Below are 13,792 nucleotides of genomic sequence, written 5' to 3' on the forward strand. Positions count from 1 at the left end.
CTCTGAATAATGCAGATTACCCTCCATAATGTTGGTAGGCCCCATCTGATCAGTTGAAGGCTTTAATAGAACAAAAAGACTAGTCTGTCCCAAGCAAAAGGGAATTCTCCAGGAGACAGCCATCAGATTTCATCTGCTCAACTGGCTCTCCTGGGTCTCCAGGCTGCTGGCCTTCACACTGGAACTGCATCATCTGCTTTCCTGAGTCTCCAGCCCACCAGCCCAACTGCAAATTTTGGACTTGCCAAGCCACTATAATCATGTAAGCCAATTCCTTATAATAAATCTCTTTCTGTATATGCACATCCAATTGGTTCTGACTCTCTGGAGAATCCTAATAAATTCCCCCAAATCATAAATAGTTTAAAGTTATTACTCTTTCTACTCTGTTTTAAGAAAAAAGCTGAACAAACAGACTTTGTTTTATTTTCTTTATATCAAAGAAAAGGATAGTGTAACCATGTAAATAAAATTACAATTTTTATCTTTTTGTTTGTTTGTTTTAGAGATGGAGTCTCGCTAAGTTGCCCAGGCTGGTCTTGAACTTCTGGGCTCAAACTTTCCTCCCACCTTGGTCTCCCAAAGTGCTAGGATAACAGGCATGAGCACCGTGCCTGGCCTAAAATTACAATTTTTAAAAACATCCTTTAGTTTTTCCAAGTACTTCAAAAAGAATAAAATCTCTACTCAGTTTGTGCACAAAGAAAAATTCTTAACCATCGTTGGTTTTGAGGATGGTAGAATTTAAATCTGGGTATGACAGTAACACAACATAAAAATTGTACTCCTTGAGATTAGGCATTTGGGATTTGACGGCTCTGTTTTTCTAAACAGACCATAAAACGGGTTAACCTGCTTATTCTATGAAATTGCTATATACTCCTTAAATTGTGCAGGATGCCTATTTGTGTCCTGCACAATTTAAGGACAGTATAACAATACAAAATTTTTTTTCTCAAATTAGCTGTTTAGATTTCCTGCTTAAAATTAGCAGCTGCTTCTTGTTGGAGTGCCAAACATTTCAGAGGAATAAAATGTACAGTGTATAAAAATAGAATAATTGAGCAGCTTCTCGTTAACCTAAAAAGTATTACAGTAAAGAAATGGGCAAGCTACTCTAAAACATTTATCATTACATTTTATTTTAAAATAATTTCCAGAATGGTTTTATTTCTTCATTCTTAAAATACATTTCTCAATTGATAGAATATATTCAGAATATACAAAGCCATATGATATATATTTAAATACACACACACACACACACACACACACACACCCCATCATAGGTAAGTCTGACACTCAGAGATAATGATAAAGTTTGAAGGTAATTTAAAAAAATACCATATTAAAAGAGAAACTGTCATTTAAATTTGAAAACATCAGTAATAATGGATTCATGATAAACATCAGCTATTTGACTCTTTATCTACAGTCAATGATTTCCTGGTGCTTAAACATAACAACAAATATAACATTTACTTACAGAAAATGGAACAAAGAGATGTATGGAGCAGTACCCAAAAGATTACTAATCCCAACTCTTCACTCTCAGGGGATACTATGATTACATTTTCATTGTAAGAAACTAAAAAAATAACTTTTAGTTACTTACTTCTAAATTTCTTTTAATGTAATTACTTACCTCATCTAATTTCTTAGTAGGAAAAGAATGTGGACATCCTCTACTCACCCAAAATAAATTCTCCACCAACAATGAGTATTGTTTTATAGTCTCATTCTAAAAATGCTACTTCCACGGCTGGGTGTGGTGGCTTACGCCTGTAATCTTAGCACTTTGGGAAGCCAAGGCAGGTAGATCCACTTGAGCTCAGGAGTTTGAGACCAGCCCCGGCAACATAGTGAGACTGTGTCTTTTATTAAATAATTAATTAATAAAAATGCTATCTACTCCTCTTCCTCATCCCAAAAATCCTTCTCATTATCTTTATATCTTTAATTGCTTTCAAAAACTCTAACGGTTTCATTGCCAAAGTATTCCTTTCTTTTCTGTTTATATATAAACTGTATTTTAAACAAATATAAACTGTTAATACAACTGCTCTGTACTTAAGTGTCTCTCTCTCAAATAACTCTACCAGGTCCCTATAAGCATTTTCACCTGTAAGTTACATTTGTCCAAATGAACAAACATGACACACTGAACCAATATAAAGTATCCTGCTTTACTATATATAACAAAGGGATTGACATTCTGTCATTTTACTAAAAGAGTTCAAAATTAAAGGGAAAAAAATAGGTTCCCAATTTTTCATTCAGGTGATGCAAGGTTTTAGTTGAATTAAAGTGCCTTGGACATTGTCTTTCTTTTTCTTTTTTCTTTTTTTTTTTTTTTTAGAGACGGGGTTTTACCATGTTGGCCAGGCTGGTCTGGAACTCCTGAACTCAATTGATCTACCCGCCTCGGTCTCCTTAAGTGCTGGGATTACAGGTGTGAGCCACTGTGCCCAGCCGGACATTGTCTTTCTGCATTGTATTTCCACACTTCATAAAGCAGTTATGCTACATTCATTTTACTTTTCACACAATCCTTTTCTGATTTTTCGCTTTAGAATCAACAATATAGGTTCAATTCTTAGTTATTCATAAAGAAGACATAAAAATATTTTAAGTTCATGTAAGTTTAATCTATTAATACTTCCTCTTCAAGAATGCATTTAAATGGCTAGTAGCTAAGTAAATGATTGGTTTTACTTTCACTAACTTTGTCTACCATCCGGTGGTAATGCACAGCAAAGCTGTTAAGGGGCAAAAAGAGAAAGAAGAGGGAGAAATAAAACTAAAATAATGTCTTTTCTTCATAAATCAGGGTCTGGTTCTAATCAGACCCTGATTTATGAAGAAAAGGCATTATTTAAAACATTTTTAAATGAATTCCCATAAGGATGTTCATTCTCAGGGTCATAAATAAAACAAATCTGTATGACATAAATATTGTAGTGTGATCTTACTAGAAAATTACATCCTAAGATCAGTTCTACTCTAAAAGAAAATGCAGTCCTCTTTGATGGAGATACAGCTTTGATTAAAGTGCGTGCCCATAGAGGGAAGTATTTCTTGTATAGGTAGTCTGAAGGGTCAAAGCAACCCTGGTGATAAGAGGGTATCCCAGCCAGATTAACCTCAGAGATTAGTTCTGAGCTGACTCAGTTTCAATAACCAGATGCCAGGGAATGCCTTCTCCTTGTGGACCATGCAAGGAAGCTGTTACTGTCATGTTATCAGGAAAGCCCTAAATAGAGATAAAGGAGATGCCCAAAGGAACCATTTGAGGAACATGCTGTTACAAGTCCTATCCGAGAACATGACAATGAACTTCACCATTCTTCTGCTGGTCATTACTTCTCCTACTTATAACTATTTAAAATATTAATTAATTGGTTATTTTCTTATTAAAATGCAGAACCTCTAAGAGTGTGGTTCTAAGCTGACTGCTTTATTAATCCATCTTGTGATCCTTAGGAAAAATAAAACATGGCTTTGGTGTGATTTTAAGTGCTATTATTCCAAATGATAACAATGCCTCAGACTCACATGAAATGCTTATATTGATGGATTCAGCTAAAGTCCTTCACCCGGATTCATCTTTGAGTCTCTACATCAATGCCAATATGCATTTATGGGATGACTGATAACGTTTTGGGATGAAATAGATGGCCACACTACATGCTGATGTTAACCGTCACTGGGATTCACTTTATGGCCTTGGCCTCCTGAATGCACTGCTTTTTACAATTCAGCTAAGAAGTCTTGCATCAACTATAAGACAACCATCCAAATTTTATACAACACTATGGATACTGTTGCTTTACTGAGAGATAAGATCTACCAAATGTAGCAAGAAATAATACATTTATATTGAAGTTCCAATTCCCCCTTGACTTTTTTACTTCAAAACACCATCCATTTAGCATCCTATGTACCATCATCACTATCATCTCTGAGTCTTGTGTGCTCCAGGTTTATCCGAGACTAGTTTTAGTGGAAATCTGTCGATGAATAGGCAAAAACAGTCAGACTGAGGGTGCTGAGACCTCTCTGGGAGGCATTCTATCTGCTCAGTTTTAGAAGTCATTAAGCTTTTGAACTTCTTCCATCACTACTATGAGCTAGAGGTTCACAGTGGCATGGGTCTGGTTCCCTAGAACTGAGCAAGTGTATAGCTACTTACTCTTCTTGGCCTGAATTCTAGATTGTAAGAGTTTTAAATCCCTGGAGTTAGGCTGTGCACATGTCTGAAGCAAGTCTGGGAATCCTTTAGCACTGAATATGGCTCTCTCCTCAGTTCTGTATGCCACCAGTTTGTGTGTGGAGCCTCATAAAGTTCGATCATTTTTCCAGTAAAATGACTACAGTACCAAGTATTAGAGAACCTCACACATTGTTTAATTCATATTTCCCCAACTTTGCATAATGCCTAGAGTGTTCTATTTCCTCAAAGAGGAAAGTGCTTAAACAAAGCACATGGGAGAATTTTGGGGAAAAGAATTCCCAGATGGGAAGAGTGGTTAAACCAACTACTTTTCCCCTCCACTTGTTCCACCTCTTCTTCCTCCCTTTCTTCCTATTAAAGTCTCTGAAAGTAGGACTAATTCTCATATGTCTAGAAAAATTAGTAAGGCTGACTTTTCCAATACCCAACAATGGAATGGGTCAACTCATAAAGGAGTGATATCCTCATCATTAGAAGTATTGGAAAGAAGAGGCTGGAATAGAAGGGATTTCTCTCTCTTTGATCGATTTAACTCAACTACACTTATAGCAGTAATGACAATAAAACCCAACATTTATTGAATACCTTATCTGCTGGACATTTTTACCTGGATTAGCTCATTCAATTCTCCACAACAGCCTGATAAGATACTATTATTATAAGCCCCATTTTATAAATAAGAAGTCAAAGATGTAAATAAATTAAAATTTGTTTCAGGTTATAAATTAAAGAACTGAGATTTGGACTCAGATAATCTGACTTCAGAAAAAAAAATTTTTTTTCAAAAGATGTGTCATTAGACTAACATTGACCTGAAATAAACTACATGTAAAGTCTGTAATTTGATAAGTTTTGACATATATACACTCATGAAGCCATCAATATAATCAAGATAATAAACATATTCACCACTATTCCTAAAAGTTTCTCCATGGCTCTTATAAAAGAGACTGTAAAATCCTCCTTCCTGGCTCTCTCTGATCTGGTCTGCATCATTATACATTAGCTTGCATTTCCTAAAATTTTATATAAATGGTATGAAAAAATGTGTATGATATATCTGTTTTCACTCAATATTTTTTTTTAAGATTCAGCCATGTTGTGGCATGTGTCAATAATCTATTCCTTTTTATTACTGAGTAGTATTCCTCATAAATATACTACAAGTTGTTTATCCATTCATCTACTGATGAACATTTGGGTTGTTTTCAGTTTCTGTCTATCACAAAGAAAGCTGCTGCAAGCATTTGTGTACAAGTCTTTGTATGGACATACACTTCCTTTTGTCTTGGGTAAATATATATGAGTGGAATGACTTGATCACATGGATCACATGATATGTATACATTTAACTTTTCAAGAAAATACCAAAATGTTTTCCAGATGGTTGTACTATTTTGCATTCTAACCAGCAGTAAATGAGAATTGTAGTTCCTCCACGTCCTTGTTAACAGTTGGTATGCCTGGTCCTTTTACTTTCAGACATCCTAAAAGTGTGTATTAGCATGTACTGTGGTTTTAAATCTGCATTTAATAACTAAAGTTGAGCATCACTTCATGTGTTTCTTTGCCTTCTTTATAGATTTGGTGATGTGCTCATTCATATATTTTGTACTTTTTAAAAAATTCTATTTTTGGGTCATCCATCCATTTACAGAGCCATATTTTGTACATTTTTAAAAACTGAATGTTTTGTTTTCTTGAGTTGTGAAAGTTCTTTATATATTCTGAATACAAGTCCCTTTATCAGATATATAATTTTCAAATATTTTCTTGTAATATGTAGCTTCTTTTCATTCTCCTAAGAATGCCTTTTGTAGAACAAAAATTTTTTATTTTGATGAAGTCCTATTTATCATTTTAAAGAACAGATTGTGCCTTTGGTGTCATATCTAAGAAATACTGTCTAACCCAAAGTCAAAATAGGTTTAAGTTTTGTGCCTTAAATTTAGGTCTAGGATCCATTTTAGACAATTACATACAGTGCAAAACTGAAATGTGTTTTTAAAAATATGAATAACCAATTATTTAAGCACTATTTGTTGAAAAAAATATCATTTTGAAAATCAGTTGTCCAAATATATGTAGGTCTGTGTCTAGATTTGGTTACACTAATCTATCTTTATGCCATTACTATATTCTCTTGATTATTGCAGTGTTTTTTAAAAAGCCTTGAAATCAGGAAAAGTTATGATTCTAACTTTGTCCTTTACCAAGGTTAGACTATTCTAGGTCCTTAGTATTTATTTATATCAGCTTGTTAATTTCTACAAAAAAGTATATTGGAATTTGATGGACATTGGACTGAATCTATATATCAACTTTAGCAGAACTGATATCAAAATACTGAAATACTATATTACATGCAATGTTGAAGGCATGAACATTATGTATCTCTTCATTTACTTAGTTCTCTGATGTCTGTTGGCAATATTTTATACTTTTCAGGGTGCAGGTTCTTTGCATACTTTTGCCAGAGTTATTCCTAAGTGTTTCTTTTGTATTTTTGATACCATTATAAATAATGTAATTTTAATATTATTTTCTAATTGTAGCCAGTACACAAAAATACTTGCTTGAGATATATATCTCTGTATATACAGATGTATATATATCTATATATATAGATGTGTGTGTATATATATATCTATATGTGTGTATCTATCAATATGTGTAGATAGATAGATAGATAGATAGATAGATAGATAGATAGATATCTCAAGCAACTATTTTTATATACTGGCTCTTGTTGCCCAGGCTGGAGTGCAATGGCATGATCCTGACTCACTGTAACTTCTGCCTCTCAGGTGCAAGCGATTCTCCTGCCTCAGCCTCCCCAGTAGCTGGGATTTCAGGCACCCGCCACCACGCCTGGCTAATTTTTTTTTTTTTTTTTTTTTGAGACAGAGTCTCGTTCTGTCACCCAGGCTGGAGTGCAGTGGCGCGATCTCGGCTCACTGCAACCTTTGCCTCCTGGGTTCAAGCGATTATCCTGCTTCAGACTCCTGAGTAGCTGGGATTACAGGTGTGCATCACCATGCCCGCCTTATTTTTGTATATTTAGTAAAGATGGGGTTTCACCATGTTGGCTAGGCTGGTCTTGAACTCCTGACCTCAAGCAATCCACCTATCTTGGCCTCCCAAAGTGCTGGGATTACAGGCGTGAGCCACTGTGCCCGGTCTGCAATTGTTTGCTATATTAATCTCATGTCCTACAATCTTGCTAAGCTCACTTATTCTAGTTGTTTTTAGGTAGAATTTGTTGAACTTGCTATGGAGACATTCATGCCCCTTCCCTCACAATCTGAATGGCTTTTGCTTCTTTTTATTGCCTTATTGCACTGGCTAGAACCTTCAGTACAATGCTGAACAATAGTAGTAGAAGCCAACTGGGCTTAGAGTCGTGTTTATAGAAAGGTTTTTAAGTACAAATTGAATTTGTTTATGCCTACTTCTTCTTCAGTGAGCTTTGGTAGTTTATATATTTCAAGGCATCTGTCAATTTCATGCAAGCTGTCAAATTTATTGATATAAAATATGTTCACATTGTCTTATTTTTCTCTTAATATCTGTAGAATTAGCAGTGATATTACTTGTTTTGTGCCTTACTTTGAAAATGTGTCTTCTTTTCTTTCCTGATCATTCTGCCTAAAGGCTTACCAGTTTTACCATCTTCTCAAAGAACTAGCTTTTGGCTTCATTAATTTTTTTAAATTGTTTTTCTGGGCATATAAATTTTTTAAATCACGAAGTACTTCAAACATATTCTGTATGCAGAGACCATTATAACACATACCTACTCTCTAGATTTAGAAGAGTTAATATTGTTGTTTCAGATCTTTATAACTGAAGTCTTTCTCCCTATTTATTAAAAATAAAAATCATATTTACTCCCCTCCCTTCTCAGAGGTAACTTCTGGCCACCGTGCTGAAATTGACGTTTACTTTTCTTATTTATGTTTCTAAAATGTAATACCATATATGTTTGTTTTCATAAAAAATATGTCTATTGCTTTTAAAAAAATACATAAATGGTACATACTATATGTGTCCTGCTTTTTCACCCAGTCTCTTATCAATAGACATGTAATTCAGTTTCTAATTTTTCCATTTCTGATCATAAACACATGTATAGTGTCTCTGTAAGATGTGTACCTAGAAGGGTAATTTCTGAGTAGTGAATTATAGGCATCAAGTTTACTAGAAATTACTTAATGTTCTTCAAAGTAGTTGTAGCCATCTATACTCCTATTATACCATCAAGTCTGAAAGCTTCCCTTTCTTCACTTGCCTAAAAACTCTTGGTATTAACAGACTTTTAAACTTTTGGTAATCTACAACTGTAAAATTGTATTGTGTTTTATTTTGATCCCACTGATTACAAGTAAGATAAAGCAAATTATGATGTTTAGTGGTCATTGTATGTTTCCTCTTTTGTGAGCCGTCTATTCATGTTGTTTACACAATTTTTTTCTACTGGGTTATCTTTTTCTTGTGAGTTTGAATAAGTTATTATTTTAGATGCCAGTCCTTTTATCATTTACATGAAAATATCTCCTTCCAATCAATGGCTTATCTTGTAACTTATTTTAAGGTTTCTTTTGTTGTTTACAGTTTTTTTCCCCTTTACTTAAATTTATTAATCCTTTCTAGGTTATTCTTGGCCCTTTACTACTTCATATACATTTTAGAATCACCCTGTGAGGTTCAGTGAAAACCTCATTGGGATTCTGATGAAAAAAATAGACTGACTTCATGAATTAACATGGGAAAAATTGCCATCTTCATGATTAAGTATTGTTTTACAAGTTTATTTAGGTTTTCTATTTATTATTGATTTAATATTGGCAATTTATATTTTAAACAAAATTATCAATTCATCTGTGTTTAGAAAGTTGTTGCAAAAAGCTTCTCAGTATTCTCTTCTGATTATTTAAATATGTCTTATGCCTGTAGTTATGTCTTCATTTTAATTCTTGCTATTTTTACTTGTGCCTATTCTATTTCATCATCTTTCTTGCCACAGGTCTGTATAATTAGTCTTAAAAGAAAGAAAACCCAGCTTTTGTTTTAGTTGATCCTGTCATTATTTGTTTTCTGTTTCATTAAATATTTACTCTACTCTTTATAATTTTCTTCTAATATAAAAAGTCAGAAAAACGAACAGAGTAATTGTTAAGTTACAATTTGAGAAGTTGTTGAGAAGATTCAAACAAAATGTACAAGTAATTGTTAAGTTGAACTTCTATAATTTTCTTTAATTTCTGCTATATTGTATACATTTAATTTCTCAAGAACTATTTTTGCTGCATTACATAAGTTTTAACATACACTGACTCAGTTGTCTTCCAATTTTAAATATTTTAGTTTTAAATATAAATTATTTATATTTTTTGAGGCCTAATTTATTTATAAGTACTTTTAAATTTTCAAACACATGAACTTGTGCTTTTTTCTTTTAATATTTTCATAATTGATTATATTGTAGACAGAGAATGTGGTCTGCATGACAGCAAGTCTTTTGTAACTCTATTTGTGGCCTAATATCTACTCAATTTTTGGAAATGTGTACATATACTTGAAAAAATTATGTATTCACTAATTATGTATGTGCATTAGATTAATCTTGTACATTTTGTTTGAATCTTCTCAACATTCTCAAAATAATATTTAACTAAAGGGTCCTAAAAGTAGCATCTTAACCCCCAATAGTCAAATCAAGTCTTTAAAGACTATCAACTAATATTATCTGAAAGGCAAATCATGTCTTTGCATACACATACACACATGCACACACAAACACACATTCTTTGTTCTCTATAAATTCTCTAAGCCTTGCTCCCTGAAATAAAGATCCAACTGTTAGTCACAAAATTCTCAAGTATTGGGGAAGAATCTCATATTTTTTGGCTATAAAATCAGGTGAAGGTTAAAAAAATAAAAAAACTTTACAAAAAGAAATGTAGGCTGGGTGCGATGGCTTACACCTGTAATCTCGGTGCTTTGGGAGGCTGAGGTGGGAGGACTGCTTGAGGCCAGAAGTCTGAGGCCAGCCTGGGCAATATAGCAAAACTCCCACTCTACCAAAAACTAGAAAAACTTCGCCAGGTGTGGTGGCACACACCTGTAGTCCCAGCAACTTGGGAGGATGAGGTGGGAGGATCAATTGAGCTCAGGAAGTCAAGGCTGCTGTGAACTGTATGATCATGCCACTGCACTCTAGCCTGGGCGGCAGAGCAAGACCCTGTGTCTCAAAAAAAAATAATAATAATTGAGTGGTCCTGCAGTTGAACTATTACATACAGGGTCCTGTTGCCAGGGTCCACATGCTGTAGCCCACTCAGAGCACTCTCTCTCCCTTTTATGGTTCCCTAGTGTGTTGGGATCAAATGAACAAAACTTGTTTATGATACAGTCATGCTTTTTGTGATCATGTATAGTTCAAACATCTATATTTGTAAACAAAGCCCAATAATCATTTTGATCATTTAAATTCTCCTTCTGAAATCTTTGCAGATCTTTCAGATCTATCCTTCTAAAGATCTCTAACCTAAGAATGATAAATTACTTCTGTAGATATTTTCTATTTTGTTTCTAAGATGGTTCTTAATAATAATCATCAATTTGTTAGTTTATATTTTATTTTTCTTGGATTTCCTGACTGATTTGTACATATTGTTGGATGACTAACAATTTGTTTCGTCTCAATGTTACACTTAATTGTGTTTTGATCAATAAATGTTCACCCAGCATATACTTCCTCCAATAGTTCTATCAACCACTCAAAAGTTTAGTCCATTTCTTTTCTTTTCCTTGTCTATTTTAAAAGTACAAAGCAGTTAACCATATTCTAAAATCTCAATCAACACACCCTGAGTATTCTAGCAATATGCATCTCGAAAGTGAAAACTTCCATTACTGTCTGGCCTTGTAATGACCATACTTTGAACTCATTTAACATCTACAGATAAGTCTCAAGATAATATTACTTAGGTACATATTAGAGCTGTTAATTCGCTCATTCTAAGCTACTAACAAATTTTGGGTCTTCTAATTTGTTTCATACAAACCCAGGACTTGATACGGTCTGAATCTGATCAAGTATGATGAATGACTTCTGTGTCTTCAATTATTCTAAGCAATTAAAGGACAAAAAAAAAACCTGATAGCACTTTGAAGACTGTACAATATTCAGTATACAGCAAAATGAAGAGACATGGAAATATACACCTAAATAATTCTGATTCAAATACTTCAATGTGATTCTGAAGAAAGGAAATGAGACAAAATACTTTTATGACAAAGAATTTCATTATAACAAATTAAACACTATATGAGAAAGGTGTTAACTAATCTGGGCTCTAAGAATCCGAAATCATTCATGAGGGTGCTAATGGGGTAATTCTTTGACTTACAAATATTGAATGATGAAAACTGGCATACATGAAGTTCCACTGAGCTAGTGAAGAGGCACTGGTTTCTCTAATTTGTGAATTTCTGATGCAGTATTCTCAGTGAAAAATTATTCAGTAGAGTATCTTCTTCATTATTATAAAGCTCAACCAAGTTACCAAGCCAGGTAATTAAAGCTGTATGTTAACCTTTCTGAATTCTAATCTTATTCCTCTAATCTAACTAGATCACATATATGTCCTCCAATTATTTTTTTGTTTTGCCACTAATGTGACAGAAAGCAATGAAAAAACAGGATCTAATATAGAAACTTTGAGCCTCTCGCTAATTTTAAGACAAGTATCTACTATATTATTTATGAATCTAAAACTGAAATACATGGAATAGACTTAATCTGAGATTAGTGAGACAGACTGCTTGTACAAAGATGAAAAGTTTTTGATTTCCTTCATTTTCATCCTTAAATAAGTAATGAAAACCAAATTCTGAATATAATCTACATAGATACAAAACTGATAACTTGGAGAAAATAATGTGGCCTGCATTATTGTGACAGCTTCCTTGTATCTTCTCTAATCTAATTATGGCCTACAGCCCATTCTCACCAATGCAGCCAGAATGATCTTGTTAAAATCAAAGTCAGATTAGACCACTCCTTTGCTGAAAATATTTTAATGGTTCCCTACCTCATTCAGAATAAGAAATGCAATCCTTAAATAGCCTGCACAGAGTCTTCCATAATCAACTCCCATTTTCAAACCCAGATCCAAACATTTCCAATCTCATCTCCTCCTTTCTCCCCCATACTTTCTCTACTCTACCAGTCACTATGGTCACTTTGAGTGTTTCTTGAATACCTCAGACATCCTCTTGCCTCAGGACCTTTGGGAGTGTGGCCTTGAATGCTCTTCCTTCGCTTGACCTTACCTTCTACAATTCTTGGCACATATGTCAGCCCTCTTCTTAGTGAGGCTGTGGCTGACTGCCTTTTTAATAACTACAACTCCCATCCCACTTCTGGCATTTTATCCCCTTGTCCCTGCTCATTTTTGTCATTTTTTCAGAAGGCATTTATTGCTCTCTGAAACGTTCATTATTTTACTTGCATATTTCCTTCTTATCCATCTCTCCAGATAAAATGCGAGCTACACAAGGGCAGAGGTTTTTGTGTCTTTTCTTTAATACTGCATTCCCAGAACCTATATCTTACCACATAACATAATTAGATAGCTGACACATCAGTAAAAAAAAAACAAAAAACAAACAAACAACAACAAAAAAACAAACAAAAAAAACAATAAATTAAAAGCAGCCACAGTGATCAACTAACATTTAGGAACATTTTAGTTGTTCTTAGTGTAAAGATCTAAATTCACTAGCTTTTAAATCTCATCGTTCTTAAAAACCCTTAATTTATAAATGAGATTTCTAGCCTAAGATCACTCCTAAATACACTTTATACAAGTAATATTACTTGATTATCTGAATATAAATTTTCTAATTTAGTGATCTCCAAATCAGTCATTAATTTACTAATAAATTCAGTTGCCTCTATGCAGCATTATCACTAAGACATATAAAAATCCAAGGATATCATCTCAGCTTACAGAAGGAAAGCATGTGAGACAGCCAAACTAAAGAGAAATAAAAAAGCAAAGGGTCTCACCAATTTTATTTTTCTTAAGCTGAAAAACATAATTTTATTTTATTTTCAATTTTTTTTTTTTTTTTTTGAGACAGAGTCTCACTCTGTCGCCTAGGCTGGAGTGCAGTGGCATAATCTTAGTTCACTGCAACCTTTGCCTCCCAGGTTCAAGTGATTCTTGTGCCTCAGCCTGCCGAGTAGCTGGGATTACAAGCATGCACCACCAGGCTCAGCTAATTTTTTATATTTTTAGTAGAGATGGGGTTTCCTTATGTTGGCCAGGCTGGTCTCAAACTCCCGGCCTTAAGTAATTCACTCACCTTGGCCTCCCAAAATGCTGGGATTACGGGAAGGAGCTCCCATGCTGGGCCAATTTTATTATTCTTAAGCTGGAACTGTGCCAATAGCCAGTTCCAATGTAGACACGGACAGAGGATAATTCATGGAGATACAACAGTACAGAGGAGAGCATATTTATATAAACAATAATAAACGGATGA

The 13,792-nt window shown here is 34.0% G+C and overlaps 1 protein-coding gene across 4 annotated transcripts in view, besides 1 other annotated feature; it reads right to left on the bottom strand.

The window, feature by feature from the left end:
• The window catches only part of PPA2 (inorganic pyrophosphatase 2), a 104,994-nt gene that overhangs the window by 3,441 nt on the left and 87,761 nt on the right, over positions 1-13,792 (bottom strand). The gene's annotated exons all lie outside the window — the stretch shown is intronic.
• Positions 13,502-13,655: a silencer, noted in NCBI's record as "fragment chr4:106307176-106307329 (GRCh37/hg19 assembly coordinates)". NCBI's record gives its function as "represses an EF-1alpha promoter that drives an FKBP-Casp9 reporter gene in an ReSE screen in phorbol 12-myristate 13-acetate-treated (for megakaryocytic differentiation) K562 erythroleukemia cells {active_cell/tissue: K562(+PMA)}" and the evidence as "EXISTENCE:reporter gene assay evidence [ECO:0000049][PMID:32094911]".

This window comes from Homo sapiens, chromosome 4 (assembly GCF_000001405.40).
Source record: "Homo sapiens chromosome 4, GRCh38.p14 Primary Assembly".
Classification (NCBI taxonomy): Eukaryota; Metazoa; Chordata; class Mammalia; order Primates; family Hominidae; genus Homo; species Homo sapiens.